The sequence below is a fragment of the Homo sapiens genome, chromosome 7 (genome assembly GCF_000001405.40).
Source record: "Homo sapiens chromosome 7, GRCh38.p14 Primary Assembly".
NCBI lineage: Eukaryota > Metazoa > Chordata > Mammalia > Primates > Hominidae > Homo > Homo sapiens.
In genome coordinates this window covers 130,950,014-130,974,533 of record NC_000007.14, presented here as the reverse complement: position 1 = coordinate 130,974,533, position 24,520 = coordinate 130,950,014, and the positions used below count along the sequence as shown (strand labels likewise).

At 40.7% G+C, this 24,520-nt stretch overlaps 1 long non-coding RNA gene across 10 annotated transcripts in view, besides 7 other annotated features; it reads left to right on the top strand.

Moving 5' to 3' along the window:
• Positions 1-24,520, top strand: part of LINC-PINT (long intergenic non-protein coding RNA, p53 induced transcript) — a 232,364-nt gene that overhangs the window by 135,392 nt on the left and 72,452 nt on the right. Inside the window, exon 5 of one of the 10 annotated variants that reach the window (NR_109852.1) lies at positions 14,564-14,665. The exons of 8 other annotated variants lie outside the window; for them this stretch is intronic. This is a non-coding gene — a long non-coding RNA (long intergenic non-protein coding RNA, p53 induced transcript). Of the gene's footprint in view, positions 1-7,016; positions 7,146-14,563; positions 14,666-24,520 lie in introns of all 10 variants that reach the window. One more of the 10 variants, NR_109851.1, reaches the window with a different exon arrangement.
• Positions 13,279-13,368: an enhancer, noted in NCBI's record as "active region_26661". NCBI's record gives its function as "activates an Ori minimal core promoter by ATAC-STARR-seq in GM12878 lymphoblastoid cells {active_cell/tissue: GM12878}" and the evidence as "EXISTENCE:reporter gene assay evidence [ECO:0000049][PMID:35858748]".
• Positions 13,279-14,537: a biological region, named in NCBI's record as "MED14-independent group 3 enhancer GRCh37_chr7:130644756-130645955".
• Positions 13,338-14,537: an enhancer, noted in NCBI's record as "MED14-independent group 3 enhancer chr7:130644756-130645955 (GRCh37/hg19 assembly coordinates)". NCBI's record gives its function as "activates an origin of replication core promoter dependent on BRD2, BRD4, P300/CBP and CDK7 cofactors, and independent of MED14, by STARR-seq in HCT116 cells {active_cell/tissue: HCT116}" and the evidence as "EXISTENCE:reporter gene assay evidence [ECO:0000049][PMID:35650434]".
• Positions 13,922-14,011: an enhancer, noted in NCBI's record as "active region_26660". NCBI's record gives its function as "activates an Ori minimal core promoter by ATAC-STARR-seq in GM12878 lymphoblastoid cells {active_cell/tissue: GM12878}" and the evidence as "EXISTENCE:reporter gene assay evidence [ECO:0000049][PMID:35858748]".
• Positions 16,356-16,415: an enhancer, noted in NCBI's record as "active region_26659". NCBI's record gives its function as "activates an Ori minimal core promoter by ATAC-STARR-seq in GM12878 lymphoblastoid cells {active_cell/tissue: GM12878}" and the evidence as "EXISTENCE:reporter gene assay evidence [ECO:0000049][PMID:35858748]".
• Positions 17,217-17,266: a silencer, noted in NCBI's record as "silent region_18652". NCBI's record gives its function as "represses an Ori minimal core promoter by ATAC-STARR-seq in GM12878 lymphoblastoid cells {active_cell/tissue: GM12878}" and the evidence as "EXISTENCE:reporter gene assay evidence [ECO:0000049][PMID:35858748]".
• Positions 23,471-23,639: a silencer, noted in NCBI's record as "fragment chr7:130635654-130635822 (GRCh37/hg19 assembly coordinates)". NCBI's record gives its function as "represses an EF-1alpha promoter that drives an FKBP-Casp9 reporter gene in an ReSE screen in K562 erythroleukemia cells {active_cell/tissue: K562}" and the evidence as "EXISTENCE:reporter gene assay evidence [ECO:0000049][PMID:32094911]".

The following is a 24,520-nucleotide window of genomic DNA, read 5'->3' as shown; positions in this document are numbered from 1 at the left end:
TGCTTTTCTTTTATAAAAAAGTTCAAATTACAGGTCATTTCTTTGCTTACACATGTGAGCAGCCAGGCCATGTCTTGAATACTTCACTGCTTAGAAATTTCTTCCATCAGATACCCTAAATCATCACTTTGAAGTTCAAAGTTCCACAGATCCATAGAGCAAGGACACATTGCAGCCAGGCTGTTTGCTAAAGCATAGCTTTACTCCAATTCTCGGTAACTTTCCCGTATTCACCTGAGACCTCCTCAGCTTGGACTTCATTGTCCATATCACTATCAGCATTTTGGTCACAACAATTCAAGTCTCTAGGAAGTTCCAAACTTTTCCCTCATCTTCCTGTTTTCTTCTGAGCCCTCCAAACTGTTCCAACCTCTGCCTGTTATCCAGTTTCAAAGCTGCTTCCACATTTTCAGGTATCATAGCAATGCCCCTTTTCTTGGTACTAATTTTCTGTGTTAGTCCATTCTTGAATTTCTATAAAGAAATACCTGAGACTCGGTAATTTATAAAGAAAAGAGGTTTAATTGGCTCACAGTTCTGCAGGCTGTACAGGAAGCATAGTGGCTTCTGCTTCTGGGAAGGCCTTAGGAAACTTACAATCATGGCAGAAGTCAGAATGAAAACAGGCACATCTTACATGGCCAAGATATGGAGTGAGAGTTGGGGAGGGAGGTACCACACACTTTTAAATGAGCAGATTTCACCAGAACTCACTCATTCACTATCATGAAAACAGCACCAAGAGGGAAATGTGCCCCCATGATTGAGTCACCTCCCACCAGGCACCACCTCTAACATTTAGGATACAGTTTGACATGAGATTTGGGGATACAGATCCAAACCATAACAAAATCCAATTTGATTATGTTGCATGTGGATATTCAGTTTTCTGAGCATCATTTGTGGAAGAGATTATCCTTCCCTGATGTATGTGTATTCTTGGTACCCTTGCCAAAGATCAGTTAACTGTTTATCTGTGGGTTTATTTCTGGGCTCTATATTCTGTTCCACTGGTCTATAAATCTGTTTTAATGCCATTGCTGTACTGTTAAAGTTACTGTAAATTCGTAATAAATTTAGAAATCAGGAAGTATGATGCCTCCAAATTTGTTCTTTCTAAAGTTTGTGTTTGACTATTTGGAGTCCTTTGTTGTTCCATATGAATGTTAGGATTTTTAAAAAAATTTTTGTAGAAAATACCATTAGGATTTTAGTAGGGATTGCATTGTGTCTGCAGATTGCTTTGGATAGTATGGATATTTTACCAGTAGTAGGTCTTTCAATCCATGAACATGGGCTTTCTTCCCCTTTATTTGTGTTTTCTTCAATTTCTTTTATTAATCTTATGTAGTTCTCAGTGTAGAAATATTTTATCTCTTTGGTTAAGTTTATTCCTAAGCATTTTATTCTTTTTGATGCTATTGCACATGGGACCCAGCAATCTCACTTCCGAGTATATATCCAAACACATGCACACGTATGTTTATTGTGGCACTACTCACAATAGCAAAGACTTGGAACCAAGCCATATGTCCAACAATGATAGACTGGATTAAGAAAATGTGGCACATATACAGCATGGAATACTATGCAGCCATAAAAAATGATGAGTTCATGTCCTTTGTAGGGACATGGATGAAGCTGGAAACCATCATTTTCAGCAAACTATCGCAAGGACAGAAAAACCAAACACCGCATGTTCTCACTCATAGGTGGGAACTGAACAATGAGAACACTTGGACACAGGAAGGGGAACATTGCACCCCGGGGCCTGTTGTGGGGTGGGGGGAGGGATAGCATTAAGAGATATACCTAATGTAAATGACGAGTTAATGGGTGCAGCACACCAACATGGCACATGTATACATATGTAACTAACCTGCACATTGTGCACATGTACCCTAGAACTTAAAGTATAATAAAAAAATAAAATAAAATAATAGAAATCAGGATCTTGAAGAGATGTTAACATTCTCACATTCATTGAGCATTATTCACAATAACCAAGATACGGAAACAACCTAAACATTCATTGATGGATGAATGGATAAAGAAAATGTGGTATACACATACAGTGGACCACTATTCAGCATTAAAAAAAGGACATCTGCTTCATGCGACAATGTGAAGGAGCCTGGAGGCTTTCTGCTAAGTGAAATAAGCCAGTCTCAGAAGGACAAATACTGCATGATTCCACTTCTGTGAGGCATCAAAAATAATCAAACTCATAGAAACAGAATAGAATGATGGTTGCCAGGGGCTTGGAAGAGAGGGAAATGAGAAGTTGCTGTTCAATGAGTGTATATTTTCAGTTATACAAGATGAATAAGTTCTAGAAGTTTGCTGTACAACACTGTGCCTGTAGTTAACAATACTGTATTGTGTACTTAAAATTTTGTTGAGAGGGCAGATCTCATATTAAGTGTTCTTAAATAAAATAAAATGCTCTGTAAAAATAATAATAATTGGAAAAAATCCAGCATCTCTGGTGGAGGGAGCAAATAAATACATACCTATAATCAATTTTCAGTTTACTACCTTAATGAATGGGAACATTAGCATGGGTAATCAAAAGCTTTCTTTTCACTGTAAGTTATTTTCTTGTTTAGTTTTTTTGCTTTAGATTCTTTGTTTTTGAGAGTGAATAGCTGCTGGCATTGGATTTGGAATAGCTTAGTATGCATTTGTGAAAGAGAGGAATCTCCTTATAATTTAAGATATGTTCTAAATACTGCCCCCAAATTAAAATTAATACATAGTTAATTTTATTTCCATTGTAAATTGAAATTCATAAGCCTATTCTTAAAACTATAAACTCCAGGACAGAGCAAGCAGTTAACACTTGAATCTGTCTTGGCAAATTCTCCTGTCTTCTAGCACCCCCCCACCACCTTTTTTTTTTTTTTTTTTTGGAGACAGAGTCTCACTCTGTCACCCAGGCTGGAGGGCAGTGGCACTATCATGACTCAGCTCACTGCAGCCTCAACCACCTAGGCTCGGGTGATCCTCCCAGCTCAGCCTCCGAAGTAGCTGGGGTTACAGATATGCATCACCATGCCTGACTAATTTCTTTGTATTTTTTTGTAGAGACAGGGTTTTGCCATGTTGTGCAGACTGGTCTCAAACTCCTGGACTCAAACCATCCGCCTGCCTTGGCCTCTCTTAAGTGCTGGGCTTACAGGTGTGAGCTAGCACGTGCCCTTCACCCTCCTTTTAAAGTGAAATTTGTGTAAGACTTAGATAAAGGATATTTGGAGGAGAAGATAAAGTCACAAAATAATTAACCATTTAAATTTGGAGAAGGGAGGAAGGTTAGAGGACATCTACCTTAAGATTTTCAATTTACAGACGAGGCAGCTGAGTCTCCAAGCTGATGAGAATTCCACAAGGCCATAGAGCTATTAAAGAGCAAACCTTTTACTGACAAATGAGTAGTACTTATTCAACACGTTTCATAATTTTGAAAAATGAATGTTAAACCTCAATCTTTTTTGTTTTTAAATACCCAACTTGGAAAGTATTTGTCTTAGGAAAATGTAGTGGAAAGCAAAACCTACTTATACCCAGTTCACACTATTTTTCCACTCTGCTAGATTGAGGGCAGCCTGCCATGTGTACAGATAGGAAAGGAAGAGAGAGGCCCACTCTTTGCTTCAATGACAATGAAGGTTTTATGGGATAATTTTTAAAACTGCAACTGCTTCCTTCTCTAACAGTAGTTGCTCCCTGAGAAGTTCCCTGTCCTTCTCAGCTGAGTGTACCTTTCTTCAACTCAGAGAACAACTGCCCTAATTCCTATATTCTAGGGAGGCCTCTGCCAGATTGCTTTAACAAACAAAATGCTGTTCTCCACATTATTTTCTCCTGAGTTGATACAATTTTCATATTAACCATGAGCAATTGACATTAGTGCATGACACTAGCTCAGGCTGCAATTCTACCCTTGATTCCCATCCCCTGCCCCATAAGCCATTCAGCTTCCCAATTAAAAAAAAAATTCTCATTCCCACAACCAGACACTACTCTCTTCTGATGATCTTAAAAATGAATCCTCTTGGTCCCAGGTGCAGCTAATGAAACAGGGTAAATGGGGCAGGGAAAATGCACATCATCACCCAAAAAAGTCCCAGCATGTTAATACCACTTGCAAAATGTGTCATATTAATTAAGTGCAGACATTACTACTCTTTTATCCAAAAGCTGTATATTTCTTAGAAGCTGATAGACTAGATAGGTACATACTTGAATCATCCTTTTATTTTTTTTTAAACTACAGAGAATCTGTCCAAGCCCATGTCAAAAGTATTGGTTTTAAACACAAAGAATACTTGGTAGAAATAAACGGTTTAATCTGTTTATTGAAAGAAATTACCTAAATATACCTAAAAATAACTTACAGTTTTACAGTGATGAATAGTAAAATCATATTTCCTGCTTCTTGAATGATATTGACACTGGCGTGTAGACAGTATTATTCAATGAGAAATTTTATTTTCATAGCACTCTACTTTAGCTCTATTTTCCAAAGGAATATTAAACTTTCATTGTCTTCATTTTAGTAAGTTATTTGGAGAATGTATATACAAGCAAATTATGGTAAAGCCTTGTCACAGTCTACTTACTCCTCAGATTTTGTCTTTTTTTTTTTTTTTTTTTTTTTTTTGACACGGAGTCTTGCTGTCACCTGGGCTGGAGTGCAGTGGCACGATCTCGGCTCACTGCAACCTCTGCCTCCCGGGTTCAAGTGATTCTCCTGCCTCAGCCTCCTGAGTAGCTGGGATTACAGGCATGCGCCACCACGCCTGGCTAATTTTTGCATTTTTAGTAGAGACGGGGTTTTACCATGTTGGCCAGACTGGTCTCAAACTCCTAATCTCACGTGATCCACCCACCCCGGCCTCCCAGAGTGCTGGGATTACAGGCGTGAGCCACTGCACCTGGCCAGATTTTGTCCTGATTATCTGCATATTTCATTGTGTTTTTAAATAATACCAAATTATTCTAATAATTTAATTCTCCACATCACAATGTGCTGTCCATCATGATACCTTAATTTTTAAAGATTCTTAAAAAATGTTTGAAAGATGCTATGTTTGTTTGGCCACAGGGCATTTTCATTAGCAAAATATCAAATTATGTGGCCAAGATATGTTGGTAGATGAAGACCTAAATATTATTTGTCCTTCAGTTGTAGGATTTATTTGCACTGGCCATTTTAACTCACATATGAGGGACACAGTGCTTATTGTGTTTACCCAGCACTTAAACGACATTTAAAAAGTAAGGTTCTTACTCGTGGACCCAATTCCTAGGAAAGGTAACCATGCTACCAAAAATAGTGTTGATTTTTACTGATTTTACTATCTGTCTAGGCGCTATCTGTAGGACTTATTATATAACCTGAAGACAAGGATGGATAGATTAGAGGAATAAGAAATTTTGGGCACATATCTTTTCATATTTTTTCTGAAATGCATTGGTACACTTGCCACAGTGTACATTATACTTGAGATTTATTTGGGTTCTATTCAAAACCAATGAGGAGAATAGCACAAGTGGGTGCTAAGAAAGAGGCACCCCTAGGAGCTCCGTCTAGCCAGACTAGCAGCAATCGCCCCTGTGACAGGATTCACTGGTTTGGGGGAGATAAGACCTGGAAGATGTGTTAGAAATGACCGGCTCATACGAAAGGTTTAAGAACCAACACCTGAGAATGAATTCCTTTAAACTTTGAAATAAATAAGAGTTAGATTCAGTACAGAAAAGTAGAAACCCACTTAATTGCATTCTTACATGTTTTCTAGAGAAGGAAGAAAGAGATGGAGTTTGAATGAATTTGCTAAGAACTGTGTTCAGAATGCATTAGGGTATCAAAGTGGAAAAGAGGCTATCTGTAGCATAGACTATGGACTATACTTGAGCAGCAGGAGAAATGAGGACAGACAGCAAAGCACAAGCAGTAATGTTTCCTTCATGTGTTTTTTCCCTTCTTTTCTCTCCAGTGTGAGTCTTAATCTCCATTATGGATGATTGTGGCATTAACTATTAAGGGTACGATACAGTTGGGATTAGGATTCTGGACCCAGACTTCCTAGGTTCAGATACTGGCTCTGCCTCTTAGGCAACTGACTTAATTTCTTAGATTCTTTATCTGGAAAACAGGGATAATATTAGTATCTACCTCCATGGGATTATTAAGGGGATAAAATGCGTTAATGATGTAAAAAATACTTAAAATACTACCAGCACATAACAAGCACTCAATATATGTTAACTATTATTATATGACTGTATTTCATGGATTTTTTTTTTTATTTTCTCAAATTTTATCCTCTCCCCATAACCCCTTGTGGGGAGAGTAGGGACCACACTGGGTGAATGAGTGAATAATGACTTGCATGATATCTTTAGAATTGTTGATGATTAATGTAAATGCATCTTGATTTGTGGGTTGGTTTCCAAGTTAAGGACATAGAAGCATAGCACTGATTAAAATTAAATTCACACAAGATCCACTCACCTAATTTCAAACGTGATTTTTAATATTCTTTTTCTTTTTTTTTTTTTTTTTTGAGACGGAGTCTCGCTCTGTCGCCCAGGCTGGAGTGCAGTGGTGCGATCTCGGCTTACTGCAAGCTCCGCCTCCCGGGTTCACGCCATTCTCCTGCCTCAGCATCCCGAGTAGCTGGGACTACAGGCGCCTGCCACCAAGCCCGGCTATTTTTTTGTATTTTTAGTAGAGACAGGGTTTCACCGTGTTAGCCAGGATGGTCTCAATCTCCTGACCTCATGATCCGCCCACCTCAGCCTCCCAAAGTGCTGGGATTACGGGCATGAGCCACTGCGCCCGGCCTTTAATCTTCTTTTCTAGTAGTCCATTTTTCCTGGAACTCACAGAAAGGATTATGTTTTACATCATGGAAAAGTATATGCAACACATACACATATATGAAACTACTTTATGAAAAAATAGCTGCCCCACTAAATGTGAACTCTTATTTTCTGTTTTATTCTAGTCTGTTTCATCTTCATAAAAACGCTGCTTTCAGTGCACTGGATTTATTTTACAACCCACTAATGGATTACCCTACAGTTTGAAAAACATTGCGTTAGACCAGTTTGACTGTTGTCAAGAACCAAAAAAGGTACCCTTGATTATAACCAAAAATCCCTTCCTGTTCATTCCCTTCCCTAACTTCCCCTGCTACTGGAACTGGAATTCACCAATCTTACAGACACACACACACACACACTCACACTCACACTTTAACATGTCACCAGCCTATTTAGTAAGGTCATAGTTTGTGTTGTCATTTAAAAGACCATATTTATAATATTAAATGCATAAAACTCATTACTGTAAGATAGGGTCCAATGATCATTTTCAGTAAACAGTTTAAAGTTAGCTATGTTAATAGTAAAGGATTTTTCAGATTCTGATATCTTAACATCTACACCCCTCTTCTCCTCCACAGTTAAGTAAGGAATTAAGAGTGTCATGCAGGAAAATGATTTTATTCTAAGAACAGAGCCCTAGAGGCCGTGTTGCTTTATACTGAGCTGTCCATGGGCTCTGGCTTGGTCCTTCTTGGCCAGCACCATGTTTGGGAGCTAACTCCTCCTGCTCATGCTCTACGACCATGAAGCCGAACACACACCACCACTGAACTCTTGACTTTGGGCTCTCATCAGTTGAATCACCAGCCAGACCAAATGACTATCTCTTTGAAAGACTGACCACTAAATTCTTACCACATTTGCCACACAAGGCCTTCCCAGTTCATACACGCTGGCTTTGCACACATCCCATTCATGCACATGGCTGGTCACACACATCACCTGCCTTTGGTCAGCCTCTTGTCCTCTGCTTCACAGAGCAGCCAGGTTGTCCTGGCTCAGGTCATATATCCAATCCAGCACCTTTTCCATCTAAGTTGGGAAAACTTTCAATATTATGTTCTTTTCTCTTTCTGCCTTTTTTTGAGGTTGTCTTGTTAATTCCATACATACTTTTTATCACATTTCTTCCATATTTCAAGTAAATCTGTTTCTCTTTCTAAGCTTTTTTTCTTTCTTCCCACTTTGAGAGCCCCCAGTGGTATTAGTAATTTTGGAGAGCCCCCAGTAGTATTAGTCATAGCGGATGAGCTTAAGAGTAGTGATATAGCCTGGTGCTGTAGTACATGCCTGTAGACCCAGCTACTTGGGAGCCTGAGGCTGGAGGACCACCTGAGCCCAAGAGTTCAAGTCCAGCCCAGGTAACATAGCAAGAACCTATCTCTTTTTTTTTTTCAGATGGAGTTTCACTCTTCCTGCCCAGCCTGGAATGCAATGGTGCAATCTTGGCTCACTGCAACCTCTGCCTCCCAGGTTCAAGCGATTCTCCTGCCTCAGCCTCCCATGTAGCTGGGATTACAGGCATGCACCACCATGCCCGGCTAATTTTGTATTTTTAGTAGAGACGGGGTTTCTCCTTGTTGGTCAGGTTGCCCTCGAACTCCTGACCTCAGATGATCCGCCCGCCTCGGCCTCCCAAAGTGCTGGGATTATAGGTGTGAGCCACTGTGCCCAGCGACCCCATCTCTTTAAAAAAAAAAAAAGAGAGAGAGAGAGAGAATAGTGATATAATTGTATCAAGGGAAAAGCACATGATATATTTGGAGGTAAAGTAAGGCATAATAACCAGTGTCATCAACTTCCAAAGCTCTTGAGAGTCTCAGTTGGCTTCCTCCTGACTAAACCTTCTCATATTTGCATACAGATAAAATCATTCTTAGTTATTATTTTATGCTTTATATAATTATTAGTATTGCAACACAATTAAAATATATATTTCATTTGGATATGTAATATTACATATAGGATACATGATATGAAATAAGTTTTGTGAAATGACCTGGGTACTATCATTAGCAGCAATATTCCTAAGGGAAAAGTAGCCTCAGTCCTAAACCACAAATATATGGATACATTTTGGGAACATAAGCAAGTATTTGAGGACTACTTTAATGTCATTATTTCTCTCGCCCTCTTTTTTTTTTTTTTTGAGACGAAGTCTCACTCTGTTGCCCAGGCTTGAGTGCAGTGGTACGATCTCCACTCACTGCAACGTCTGCCTCCTGGGTTCGAGCAATTCTCCTGCCTCAGCCTCCCAAGTAGCTGGGATTACAGGCACCCGCCACCACACCCAGCTAATTTTTGTATTTTTAGTAGAGACGAGGTTTCACCATGTTGGCCAGACTGGTCTCGAACTCCCGACCTCAGGTGGTCCGCCCGCCTCAGCCTCCCAAAGTGCTAGGATGTTATTATTTCTCTTAACCATGCTTCTGTTTTTGGAAAGAGGTTGACTATTTTTAGATAACTGTAAGTCCTACTACAGTGCTTCCATAATTATTTTATTGTCAATAATAAATTAAAATGGAAATCATAGGAAATTGAGAGTATTCTGAAAGCAAGGATATGGTTAAACATGGATTTTGAAAAGACGGTTCACTTTTATTCCTTCTGTGTACATGCTTCTGACACTTGCTTGGATATAAAGTTCCCTTCTTTTAAACACTGTTTATTCTATGGGACAGTTGATTACAGAACATTGGGACCTTCCCTGATTCAGGTTAGTGGTCCCAGGTGACCCAGGATAGCTGCTTCACTCTGGACATTTTCTCTTACATACATTTGAAATGTGACGGCTTTGCCAAATGAGACACATTATCTTTTTTAAAACTGAGAAACAGCTCGACATGGTGGCTCACGCCTGTAATCCCAGAGCATTTTGGGAGGTCGAGGTGGGCAGATCACCTAAGGTCAGGAGTTCAAGACCAGCCTGGCCAACATGCTGAAACCCCCTTTCTACTCAAAATTCAAAAATTAACTGGGCATGGTGACAGGCACCTGTAATCCCAGCTACTCGGGAGGCTGAGCAGGAGAATTGCTTGTACCCGGGAGGCAGAGGTTGCAGTGAGCTGAGATTGTGCTATAACACTCTAGCCTGAGCAACAGAGCACGACTCTGTCTGAAAAAAAGAAACAAACAAAAAAAAGTGTTATTTCTGAGAAATAACACTCAGAAAAAGAAAAGATTATTAAACTTTTGTTAGCAGAAGAAGTACATATTGCCTCTTCATGAAGGAATTTCAGTCTTTGTTCTCTGTGCTGACCTGATATTATTAATAAATTTTTTTGATAATAATTACCTAGCAGCACTTTAAATTCATTTCCCATTTTAGAGCTGAGGTATACACGCACACACACAGGCACACATACACAGTGTACAAATATATATATATATATTTGCTTGAGTGTTAATATATAGTCCAAAGCTTACTGTCCCCTATGTAGCAAACTAATGCTCACTAGTGGAAGTGAAATTTGGCAAGGGATCTTAATCATCAAGATGATATTCTCATTCATTTAAACTTTATATCTCTGCAAAATTTTGTGTTTCTAAAATGACCTTGAACTTGCAAATATATTAAAGGTGTTGTTTCCAAAGGGATACAGATGGAAATTATAATTTTCATGTCAGGGTCCACACTGGCCAAATATGTCCCAGAATTCCTAAGCTCAGTGTTGCACGTAGCATGACTGGACATGACTTTGAAAATGTTTCAATGTATGCCCCACTTTGAGACGCAAAGGCATGCATAAAATAAAATGATAAAGTATTAATTTAAAAAATCATCAACGTCTGAGAAAATAGAAAACAGAGCCTTTGGGGTTTGGCAGCATTGCCTCTGTAGCGACCCTGGGGGTGAGTTGAGAAAGTGGGCCCAAATAAGGAAGGCCTGTGGGCCCCGCAGCCCACCCGCCACAGCAGCGAGCATGTGAGGATATTGGACCTTCACCCAAGATTTCATTTAGGGGAATACAAGGGGTTTTAGTGCTAACACAATTTGAGAAACACTGCCCCAACAGATCTGCATTTACCTATTAGGCAAAACACTTGGAATACCAAATGTACCAGATCCGCTCATAGTAGTAAGTCAGAAGTCAGCTTCCTTCCCCTTTGTGTTAGGATACCACCATGCGTAATCATCCTGAAACAAAGGTGCGGGGGAGGATTTGGAAAACTTGTTCCTAAATAAGCTGTTTTCTAAGTTGAGCTCCCCTTCTCTAGAAAGTTTCCTTAGGAACATTATGCATATTGGAGACAAAGATAAAACCCTTTTTATTAAAGTAAAAAAAATGTTGATAGTTGTTGGTGATGTCCAAATAATATTTTCAAGTCATATTATAATGATGGGGTTTCCCCCAGTACTTTGGATTGAAATAAACGGGTTAGAATGGAGAACAGATGACAGGAGTCTTCTCTGAAATTTCTGAGAGGCCACACAATCTTAGGTTGAATAAAGAAGGAATAAGAATAGGAAATACGGGGCCGGGTGTGGTGGCTCATGCCTGTAATCCAAACACTTTGGGAGGTCGAGGCAGGTGGAACACCTGAAGTCAGGAGTTGAAGACCAGCCCAGCCAACATGGTGAAACCCCATCTCTACTAAAAATACAAAATTAGCCAGGTGTGGTGATGGGCTCCTGTAATCCCAGCTATTTGGGAGGCTGAGGCAGGAGAATTGCTTGAACCTGGGAGGTGGAGGTTGCAGTGAGCCGAGATCGCGCCACTGCACTCCAGCCTGGGCAACAGAGTGAGACTCCGTCTCCAAAAAAAAAAAAAGAAAAAAAAAGGAAATACGGAAAGATGATGATTTGTTTTAAATACATTTCCAACAGTATTTCTCTGTTTCCTTTTTTAGAAATCCTTTCTGTTCATAGGGCAGTTGGGGTAGAAATGGACACACTTAGCCAGCACGGCTTCTTCCGTGGAGGATGCACCATGTGTCCCTGCTGTGAGATGTAGACACCTGAGTTTGTGTGTTCAGATACTTTCGAAGAAGTTTTTTTGGTGAGACTTCTTTGGCAAAGAAAGCTGCATATAAAGTTGTTGATGCAGTGTCTGGAACATAGTAATGATCGATGCAGGAGGAAGATAAGGGGGAAGGTCCCTGGAGAGTCTCCCACCAGCCTGTGCACTGGGAGGAGGGGATGGAGCCTCAGGAAGTTCTCACCCTTTGCAGCTAGGAGCCTGGCCTCTCCTGTTCCTGGGTGGTGAGTTGGGATTCAATCTGTGAGATGGGGGCCTGTTCATAAAAACTCATCTTGCTTTGCTGAGAGTCTTTTTCCTTTTTGCCCAATAGATTCCATAACCCCTCACCCTTCAAAGGGTCTGTGTGCGTAACTTTTCCTGGTCATGTGACAAGAACCCAGTTTTTTCTACAATAGTAAGGAATCAGTGAGCATTAGTATTCTTTCTCTTTTTCTTCCTCTTCTCTTTGGCAGTATATTTTTCGCTTTCCAGCTGTAGCATCTGTTAGTGTAATATTCATATTTGCCCTCAAGTACTGCATTTTCCAGGTTTCTGCAGCTTGGACTTTTCTGTCTTGGTGGAGTGAAGCAGAGGTAGGTGGGGAGGGGAGATCAAGTGAACCCAGCCTGGCTCTCCTTTTATTTCCCTGGAGTTAGAAGCCACAAGTTGTCCTGAGGAGGCTTTGCTGTTCTTGTCACTCCTGACTTCAGCAGGAATCAAGGACAAAATAATTGAATGATAAAGGAAGATGGAAGCAGCTATAATCAGCTGTTCAGTTCCAGTAACAGGAAAAGTAGTCCTCAAACTTTAGAGGACATAAGAATGACCTAGGATGCCAGTTAAAATTCATTTTCCTGGGCTCCTCCCCAGAGATTCTGAGTCCAAACTTAGGTAATTCTTAGTTTTTAATGTTTTGGTTGATCACTAGTATAGCACAAAGATTAATATATTTTTAAGAGTTTTTACCACTCTTTGGTAAAGTTTGCTACCCTCAGGGAGCCCCAAAATTACGGCTTAGAATTCTTGGCTTAAAAAATGAGCCAAACCATCCCCATACCTATGTATGACTCTCGGGCAGTCATGTAACACGAACAAGCTTTGGCAGTGGTGTGAGACTTATTTGTAAATTGCCAGTGTCAACATAATTCTTTTCTCATTGGCATTGCCTAGTTAAGGAGTCAAGTCTCACTGTGGTTTGTTCTCTCTGTGGTTTCCGTAGGGTTGGGGAGAAGGCTACAGAAAAACGAACCCTTTCTAGTTTTGACTGTCTAGGGAGTAAAAAAAAAAAAGCCTGTCATCTTTCTGAATTAGGATATAAGACGCCTGCCCTGAAGGTGGCAAATCAGACTTCCACACGCATTGCCTTCATTTAGCCAATAGCCCGCTCTGAATGTGTATATTACGATGTGCAGTTTCATTCATCAAGGGGATTTCGGGCTCCAGCAGCACGCAGCCTCCAGTCTTGAGTGACTCCTGGGCTTTGGCTCAGCAGTAACTCCTCCATAAAAACAAGTGTGTGCATCTGGCTGTTAGAAGAATTCATGCTCATCCGGGTAAGGATAAACTGGAGAAATTATTCCTTTTTTTCCCTTTGGGTGGTTTTGAGGTTTTAGAAAAATTGATCCTCTCTTTGAGAAGAGTTCAGAACTATTTGTCTGAAGTTTTTCCATCCAAACTGCTTTATCGTATTATCCACTGTCTTACCCTTTTCCTGTGAAATCTACCCTCTTCAAAACATAGTTTCATTTTCAAATTTTAAAAGATAAGATTCCATTTTTCTTTCCGTGCATGAAACTTTAAAAATTAAATCACCACAGTTGCTACTGGCTTAGAAGTGGGGTCTTATATTTTTAGGAAGTATACTTTAAAAGTTAGGCAGAGGGGAAATCTATGTTTGCATTTGATTTATGAAACAGTGACTGTTACATTAAAGGGCGGATTTTCAGACATACTACTTGATCTGCTCTGACAAGCTATGAGCTCTCTCTCTCTGCCACTTTTCTCCCGAACTGTGTTCTAATGGTGGAATCAGCTCATCTTTTTTCCTTAGGCATGTGGTTTAGTCTGTGTACATTCAGCGCGGTGGCATTTTTCTTGAAGAAGTGACTAAGGCTTCTTGGATGAATTCTGTCTTTGAAAGAGGTAGTAGAATTGCATCAGAAAGGCATTTACAGTAAATGGCTACCCCCCCTTCCTGTAATGACCGCATGTGAAAGAATGCATTAATTCTTGTTTTGAGGAAATGAGAGTTGTAGAGTTCTATGAAAAACTCCCTTTTTTATCATTAGTTAGCCAGGTTTGAATGTTCACATTTTAAAAATCAGGCTCATTTTGTGCTATCTAAATAAAAGTCACAAAGATACAGCTTTCCACTCCATGTTCTATGTGGAGTAACCAATCATCCTGAACTCAAAAAGAGGAAATTATGTTGAATATGGCTACAGTTAATGGCATAAGCCTAAACTAAATTAATTTCTTCATAGTCTTTTTTTATATTAAGTTACTGTGCTTCCTAGCTATGTTGCTGATTTGTCCATCAGGATTTGATTCTCAGTGCGACGGACGATGAAGACTAAAAGGAAACTCCCATAGATGATCTGGTCAGGAGTTCTCATGGAAGCAGTACCGCCCCCTAGGTGACAGAGTGGAAATTTATGAGGGTATTCTGGTGGTACAATGAAGGATTTTTCTGGTTTTTTTTTGAGATGGAGTCTCACTCTGTTGCCCAGACTGGAATGCAGTGGTGTGATCTCAACTGACTGCAACCTCCGTATCCTGGGTTCAAGCAACTCTCCTGCTGCAGCCACGTGAGTAGCTGGGATTACAGGCCCAAGCCACCACACCCAGCTAATTTTTGTATTTTTGGTAGAGACGGGGCTTCCCCATGTTGGTCAGGCTGGTCTCAAACTCCTGACCTCAGGTGATCCGCCGGCCTCGGCCTCCCAAAGTGCTGGGATTACAGGCATGAGCCACCTCGCCCAGCCTAATGAAGGATATTTCATGAGTGAGAGCGAGAGAACTTAATGTCCCACAGTAGAAAAGAGATAAAGAATTGCCCTGTAGTACACATGACTTTCAGTTATCCTGTTGGACATTCGTGTAGGGAAAGATCAGTTTATAATTTTCTGAACCTAGACTTTATTTTTTCATAAAAATGCAAAATAATTTTTGCATACTTTTAATATACACAGAATAGATTCATTTTCATTCTCTGGTCCACCTATACTACTTCTTTCATTTTCCTGCACTTTTAATATGGAAAGCTTCTAATCTGACTTCTCTTAAATACAAGCTTCTTCTTTATAAGTAAGTTACAAGCATCTATTTGATTACATAGTTAATTGTACCTGAAAATTATTTATATAATGAAATGTGAAGTATTTTTTATTATAAATTGCTTCTTTTAGATTATCTTTTATGTACATTTAGGATATTCATGTTTTAAAGCTGCATGTACAGTAGTTAATATTATCAACAAATTTGATTTTAGAGTAGTAAATGGGACATGACAGAATTTTTTTGTCATATAAAGAGAGCTATGAGAATAATGGATAGGGTTTTGAACCAATGAACCAATCCGTGCCTCAGCGTTTAAGGAAGGAGGGTATGCAAATTACCCAGATAGGAGGGATGCTTATCTTCTTCATGAAGTTCCCCAGGGAAGATTTCACGTGTACCTCATTAATTTGTATTAGTATTTTGAAATCTTCATAGTAAGCTAGTTCTTCTGTATTAATATTTTCTAGGAGTCTTCATATGTCACTCTAAAAACATGACCGGGCCAGGTGCAGTGGCTCATGCCTGTAATCCGAGAACTTTGGGAGGCCGAGGCAGGTGGATCACTGAGGTCAGGAGTTCAAGACCAGCCTGGCCAACATGGTGAAACCCCGTTTCTACTAAAAATACAAAAATTAGCTGGGCATGGTGGCAGGTACCTGTAATCCCAGCTGCTCGGGAGGCTGAGGCGGGAGAATCACCTGAACCCGGGAGGCAGAGGTTGTAGTGAGCTGAGATCGTGCCATTGCACTACAGCCTAGGCGATAGAGCAAGACTCTGTCTCAAAACAAAACATGGCCAGGCACAGTGGCTCATGCCTGTAATCCCAGCATTTTGGGAGGCCATGGTGGGCGGATCACCTGAAGTCAGGAGTTCAAGACCAGCCTGGCCAACATAGTAAAACCTTGTCTCTACTAAAAATATAAAAATCAGCCGTGTGTGATGGCACACTCCTGTAATCCCAGCTACTCAGGAGGCTGAGGCAGGAGAATTGCATGAACCTGGGAGACAGAGGTTTCAGTGAGCCGAGATTGTACCACTGCACTCCAGCCTGGGTGACAGAGTGATACTCTGTCTCAAAAAAACAAAACGAAAACAAAAAAAACCTGTGACTTTTGGTTACTCCCCTTCTGTAGAAAAGATGAGCAGGTATTGAGAGAAGTAAACTGTAAACTTGCAGAGGAGTTAAAAACAGACTCAGGTTTTCTTGAACAGTGGACATGGTGGCACTGTCCCTTTGTCATGAACATAGTCCACATATGCCATTACAAACTGTTGACAGTACTGTAAAATATAACACATTCTAGGTAAGGTATTGTCTATATGGTAGATTAAATCAGAAATACAAAGGCTGGGTGTGGTGTTTCACGCCTGTAATCCCAACACTTTGGGAGTCTGAGGTGGGTGGAGCACTTGAGGTCAGGAGTTTGAGACCAGCCTGGCCAACATGGCAAAAACCCATTCCTACTAAAAATACAAAAGTTAGCTGCACGTGGTGGTGCACACCTGTAATCCCAGCTACTTGGGAGACTGAGAAAGGAAAATTGCTTGAACCTGGGAGGCAGAGGTTGCAGTGAGCTGAGATCACGCTACTGCACTCCAGCCTGGGCGACAGAATGAGACTGTGTCTCAGGAAAAAAAAAAGAAAAGAAAAAAAGGAAAAAAGAAGTACAAGTGTGAGGTTAAGTTACTCAAGCATGTGCACACATAGTGTTCCCTATTGTTATTTGAGGCTTGCATTTTTAATTTCATAGAGCTTTTTCTTGTAGTTCTTTTTTGTTGTTGTTGTTGTTGTTATGTTGATGTAATTCTCAAATATTTCCAGGAATACTAATAAATTGGGGGTTTTTTTTTAGTTTTTTTAGAAAAAAATCTTTTTCTTAAATATTCTGTTTCTTTTTTGTTATTGTTGTTTATCTTGGTTTTTCTCTTTCATGTTGCAGACTTTTAAAATATATATTTGATTTTCTTTTTAAAAATGAAGTGCCATTACGGCTGCCTAGAAGTTCTGCATGACAGCATCTGCCTCTAGCAGGCTTCAGCCTGGGTACACAGAGCCACCCTGAGCCCTCTTGCTGGGGAACTGCTAGATGTCAGAATGAGGAGGGCTTGACTGTGGGGTTCTCTTAACCACACTAGCTATTTAGTCTTCACCAGACGTTTGTTTAATTTTTTTTAGAAAATTATCTCCCTTTTCTTATTTTTGCTCTGAAGTGGGGAAGCTATAAGGTTTTTTTTTATAAAGACAGGAAGTAGTCATGAAAAGAATAATTGTTATTTCCAGACTTTTCAATTACTCTTCTCCTTTCTACCTTTCTTGTCACTTCTGTCACAGTTCTTACTTTTCCTGAGTCTGGAGCCTGTTTGGGGTCCATCTGAATAAAATCAACTCTTCACTGCCTTGGCAGTACCCGCTCAGAACTCTCCGGGCTGTAAGCTGCCTCTGCTCAGCTTCATCGCTCAGTGCTCTCCCCACATCCTTCTGGCTTCCTGACATTTGGTGAAATCTCTCAGGCCCCTGAAACTTGTTGTTGTTGTGGGTCTACATACCCCTTTTATAACCGTAGTGGGGTCTTCCAGGCGCCCTGACCGCCATCATGAAAGGAGAAGTACTTTCATTTGTTGATTTGTCAGAAATATATCTGAACAAGTAAATTGGAAATACCTTTAGTCAGGCATTTAGCCAGGAAAAAGATTAGATGGAGCATGATGACTGCAGTGGGTACTGGGGCTTGGGAAAACAAACCCTCACAATTACTGGATTGGGAGGAAACAGTGGGCTGACACTATTATACAAAGATACACTTTCCAGCCAGTAAAGACATAGCCATTAATCATAGAGCCCCATAAGAGGATCTTTTAGCTTTGTTGCTAGAAGAAAGTTGCATCTTGTAAAACATCCAACTTAGTCATTTAAAAAAATCTTTAAGTAGTGGTACTTGTTCCTGATCTTAATACAAATTAAATGTGGATACGCTTGCTTGATTTCTTCCCTGCCCTTTAGCATAAGAGCTTCTGAGAGAATTTCCTATTCTTCCCTTCTGTACTATTTATTTCTTGGGCTATAGACCCTCATACTCCCTCTTCTTTTCCTTATAAGAAGCAATTCACATTCTCTTTTCCCATCTCCTTTGTGGAAAAAATCTCCAAACCCTTGTTAATTATCCCTTTGTCATGTTCGTCAGGTCGGTCCTGAAAGTGTCAGCAGACACTGTGAAGATGGGAAAAGTAAGATGTTGACTAGTTCTTTAACTTTTGTGACACAAGTGGTGTCCGTTTGTGTCAGAAGAAAGCCTGAATTGATGTTTCCATCTCATGCTTCCCTCCTTTTACTTAGAAAGCAGTTTCTTTGTGAAAAATCCCTGGAGATCTTTCTCAGAGGTATTCCACAGTTAGGGCCAATTACTGCAACATGATGGAAGCTTTAGGTTCTTCTCAGGCCTAGCCTCATTTCTAGCACAATACTAGGAGGCTAAAATCTATCTCTAAAATTTGCAAAGTAATAGTGATGGATGTTAGCTATTTTTAATGTAGCTGCTTAGAGACAGTTGAAGATAGTAAGGGTCATAAGGGCCTTCTCCTATCTGACCTCTGTACCCCTGTAAGTTGTTTACCAGCTTAGAGCCTCCTGTACAGTTCTAGATCAAAGAGCAAGTCCTCTGAGGCCATGCCCTTGGAAGCAGAGATGGAGAGTAGTGAAATCTACTTAGCTCTGAGGGTGTGAGCTCCCAGGCAAGCAGAACACACTTGGGATTTTATTCCTGGTATTGACCAGAACATCTATCATCAGCCTATGCCAAACACCCCCTTTCCACACCTTGTTTCTCCCACCTATTTCGCATAACTTCCTAGAGATGAAGAATGTTTCTGAGTGTGGATTGTCAGATGTCTGCTGAAAAATGGTGGGCCTAAAAAAAACATTCTGTGACTGCAAGAATGTAGAACACTCCCACACTGGTTCTGGGACCTGGCCTATTGGTTGGCTATTACTGTTGAATGAGAGGAGAACCAGCAAATTCTTTCTTTTCCTCTGGAGGAAATACCTTGTATGGATGGTCCCCCAGAGAAGAGAGAGCCATGGCTAGTTGTGAACTGAAGTAATCCAGATACAGGCACCATTTGATGGGATCTAAGTGTGCGAATCAAATTGCATTCTTCAGGAGGACATGGGGATGTCAAGACAATTAAGGAAATCCTACCATCCCTCCATTTTAATTGATGTAAAATTTACATGCATTGAAATGCACAGACATTCAGTGTACTCCTGTTCCCAGACCCCAGTTAAGAGAGAGAACGTTTCTATCACCAGGTTTCCTCTTGCCCCATTCAGTCATTCGCCACCCTCACTGGCAAAAACTTTCTGCTTTCTATCATTGCAGTCTTGTTCTTGAGCTTCCTCTAAATGGAATCATGCAGTATATACTCTTTTGCGTCTGGCTTTTTTTTTCACGCAACAGTTTTATATAGTTGTCTGTATCATTCTTCCTTTATTGCTGGGTGGTATTCCATTGTATGAATAGACCCAATTTTAAACTCTGTTCTCTTGTTGACTGACATATTGATTATTTCCCCATTTTTGGCTACTATGAATATTAAGCTGCTGTGAATGAGTTTTCTCTCACTCTCACTCTTTTTCTTTTCTTTCTTTTTTTATTTTTTATTTTGAGACAGTCCCACTGTGTCACCCAGGCTGAGCTGCAGTGGGGCAATCTCAGCTCACTGCAACCTCTACCTCCCAGGCTTAAGCGATTCTCCTGCCTCAGCCTTCTGAGTAGCTGGGACTACAGGCACGCACCACCACACCTGGCTAATTTTTAAAATTTTAGTAGAGATGGGCTTTCACCATGTTGGCCAGGCTAGTCTCAAACTCCTGACCTCAAATGATCCACCAGCCTCGGCCTCTCAAAGTGCTGGGATTACAGGCGTGAGCCACCACACCTGGCCCACTCTCACTCTTTTTTAGGTTTAATTGCTGCACCGTACACTAGGTGTATGTGTACCTCTGTAAGAAACTGCCAAGTCATTTTCCAAAGTAATCGTACCATTTTACACTCCAACAAGCAATTTATGAAAGTTCCAGGTGACCAGGTATCTTAACATTGTATATTGCTGGTTTTTCTACTTATAGTCGTTCTCTTGGATATGAAGTAGTATCTCATTGTAGTTTTCAATTTGCATTTTCTAGATGAATCACATATACTTATTGGCCATTTGTGTATCTTCCCTTTTGAAGTGTCTGTTCAAGTCGTTTGAGTCTGTTTTTCTTTTGCCTGTTTTAAAATTGGATTGTCTTATTATTTTGGTTGGTAGGAATGTTATACATATTCTGAATAAAATATTCTTGTCAGAAGTTTATAATGCAAATATTTTGCCAGTCTATGGTCTACCTGCTGTTTTTTAAAAGTGTCTTTTGATGAGCAGAAGGTTTTAACTTTGAAATAATTTCATTGATCAAAAATGTTTTTCCTTTGCGAGGCCAAGGCAGGGGAAGATCGCTTGAGCCCAGGAGTTTGAGAGCAGCTTAGGTAACATAGCAAGACCTCAACTCTCTACAAAAAAATAAAATATATTTTTAAAAATTAAAACAAAGATTTCTATATTATCTGTATTTTTTGTTTCCTAAGTAATCTGCCTCCCCAGGATTGTGCAGATATTTCTCTGTGCCTTCTGTTAGAAGACTTATAGCTTTAGCTTTTATGCTTTAGTTTATGATCTATCTCCAGTTGATTTTTATATATGGGGTTAAGTAGAAGTCAAGGTTCATATTTTTGCATACATTTTCCCAGTTGTTCTAACATGGATTGTTGGAAAGACTTTCCTTTTTCCATTGAATTGCTTTGGCGCCTTTCTTGAAAATCAGTTTTCCATATATGTGTGGGTCTATTTCAAAGGAACTTAAAGAATGTTTATATAGACCACATGCGGCATGTACTCAAGTCTAGGAAATAACAGTTCACATTGGTCAACCCTCAAGTGACTGGCATACTCTTTAACTTCTATATCGTGAAACATTTATGTCAAAGATCACTGATAGAAGCTGTATGTGGTGGGAGGCATTTTTTGCTTGTTTTTTGAAGCTAACCCTGCTGAAGCCTCCAGAAGTTCCAACATTCCCATGTTAAATGTGATGTTCTTATCTGCACAGAAATAGACCATAAAAAGTGAGATCTAGCCTGAGCCTGCAGGCGACTTCAAGAAGAACAAAATTAACTTCACTTTTCTTATCTGAAAACTTGGATATGTGTGGATTCAAAAATGAGTGATTTGGAACTTATTATAATGAAATGTGGGCCAGACAAAAAATAAATACTCTTAAGAAAGATGTTTTTCATAATGTAAAGATGCTTGTAAAGGAAAAAATTGTTTTAATAACAAGTATATTGTATGCAAAAGTAGATCTGATTTTAAAGAAGCCTTGTCTATGAGTAGAATCTCTACTTGGAAAGGTTTTTGTAAACGGTTTGGTTGAGCATATTTATTTGAATATAGAACTTTCTTTCTTTTAAAAGATTCCTTGATTTGGAAACCAAAGGCTGAATAGAGTAGGAAATGCACCCAAATTATTCTGTTAGAAAGGTACAGTAAATGGTGATGCTCTCTTTTGATACCCTAAATTTTAGGACTTTGAATTTGGTGCTTTCATGGTGTGGTGGTATAGGGAAGTGATTAGCGCGGGACTCTGAGGCTGGGCTGCCTGGATTGGAATACCAGCTCTGCCACTGAACACCGGCGAAGGAATCGACGTTCTTGTCTCTCTCCCTAAATGGGGAGAATAAGAGTACGTGCCTCATGGTTTGGGTTAAAGTATACAAAAGGCTTAGAGCTGTGCCTGGTTCATAGTGAGCACTATGTAACTGCTGGCTGGTAATAATATATTAACTTTATAATAAAGGAACACCAAAAAAGGAATGAGTAAAGGAAAAACATATAAAGCAAAAGTGCATTCCACTCTGCTGTGATTCAGCTGTCTCACTCTTCATAATAGACTCCCCATTTGGCTGAATCGGTCACGTTTTGTTATTTAATTCCCATTCTCTCAAAAGGATATAGAATTAAAGTGTTTTCTTTTGAGCTCCTTGGGAAATGCATGCTCTGAAAATACCCGGGGATGCTTCATATTCATTACCAGAATTATTTGTCTCTACAAAAGGACTTTGCAAGGAAACGCATTTCAAGTTTACGTCGTCCTCTCCACTCATTTGAAATACCACCTTCCCAAGCCTGTGTTTGGACTTGTATCTTTGTGCTCAGCTCCTGGCCCCTGTTTCTGCTTTCTCTAGCAGTTTCCTGGCAAAAGCGGGAAGGAGAGCCGAGCCTGGGAGAAGTGGCCAGGACAGGCCTCTCCCCACTCAGCTTCCCACCATCACCCGGGCAGCCAGGAAGAGCCTGGACTGTGATCACCTGCCCACATTTAGTAGGGTTGACAGCACCAGAAACAAAATCTGGCTCAGACCAAACATGAAGGTCTGTTACTAATGATGTAATTTCCGTCAAAATCCCCCATTTGGGTTGCACAGACAGACTGGGTTTGACTATAGAATGAAGACGGATTGTGCTGCACGTTGTCATGGGGGGCCATCGTGTTCTGTGTAGACCATTGTCTTTGTTGTACATATGCGATGAAGGCCTACAGAAAATTGATGTCACTTACTACAGCTGACTTCCCGGATCTCACTGTGTGGAAGATGCGACTTCTCCCAAGGCCCTGCTCAGCATAGTCACGGTTTTGTTTATGTTCTTAGTGTTGTTTGATAGATGCCACACATGCATAGAGGACTGGGATGTGGCGCCCATGACTTGGCAGGCGGGAGAAGCACACTTGAGGAGGCAGCTTTCCACTCTCCAGCTGCTGATCCGTGCCATCCCAGTGCCCCTGCATCTCCCAGCGGTTCTGCACACACTGCCCACTCTCCACCTCCTGCATCTCACTACTTACTCTCAGTAACTGGCCATCCCTCTGCTGTCACAGAGGGAAGAGAGTCCAGAAGGTGGACTCACTTAGGTTCTCGCTGTGAATCAGCACTCTTCATCTGCACCTGCCTGGCTTTCCTTGCCTCCTGTTTCAGTGGAAGGGGAGTCCTTCCTCGTGTCCAAGGCCCTGAACCCCATGCCCTTCCCTCTCACCTTCTCAAAGACTTTCTCTCTCTGACCGTGTACTTTTTATTCCCCACTGACTTTGTCCTGCGAGCACTGAAACCTACTTAAGTCTTTCCCATTTTAAACAACACAGGCCTTCAGTATCACCCTGCCTTTCATTACCTCTCCATTCACTTCTCCTGCCAGGGCCAGCCTTTTGGATGGATTGTCTCTAGTTACTCCCTCCCTGTCCTCACTCCTGCCCACCCCTCAGGCTGTTCCAGTCTGGCTTTTGCACCGGTGACCAAGTGGATTCCGCTGTAGCCAAAGCCAATAGTCGCCCTCCTCTCTTTCCTGTGGGCCACGTTCGTCAGATGCATTTGGATTCTTGTCTTCCCCAACCTCTCAGTGGTGAGCAGGCTTTGACTCGTTCTCCTCCCTGGCCTTTGAAGACTCACCCTACCCTTCTTGCTTTTCCTTCTCATTGCCCTTTTCAGGTTCTTTCTATCAGTCTCTAAGCTCCTTACTAATATTCCAGTGCCCACTGGGCATCTGCACTTGAATATCTTTTTGGCACCTCATATCCAAGAGGTTCCAAATTGATCCAAATACCCAAGCTTGAAACCTGTGACTTATTGATCCTTTCTCCTCACCTTCAGAATCCAGTAAGAAGGCAAATCTGGTCAGAATTCTACCTATCAACAATTTTCAAACCCATCTACTTTATCTGTCATGTCCTTCTTCTTGGTCACCATGACCTTTTATCTGTGTTAATGGATTAGCAACTCTCTCCCTGCTAAATTTTCCCTAATCCATTCTCTGACTGCCTTCAGGGCGATGCTTCTAAAAGCATCCTCATCCTTCTCCTTCCCTGCTTTAATTCTTACCCATTTGTTAAATGTCCTGTACCCAGATTGATGGGGGCCTCTGCAGAGCACGTGTTCCAGCCTGTGCATAACCAGGTCATCACAGCACTAACAAGTTCATGGGGAGTTGGAGAAGAGAGTTGTTTCCCACTCCACAGAACTTTATGAAAATCCCAAATGTAAATCAACCACTCCTGCCCCAGAGCTCTTGGTCATGGGCTTTGTATCCCTTCCATCCTTCCTCAGCCTCTCCCATCTGTAGTAACCCTACCCTATTTCTCCCTCTTTACTTATTCAGAGCATCACAGTTCTTTCCTGAATGTTCTGATCCTTAAGTTTCATTCCTGTCTTGTCTTTGTTTGGGTTTCCCTAGAAGCAGATTTTGAAAAAACATGCAATCTGGTCTGACTTCACTACTTAGGAGCTGTGAGACCTCTCTGTGCC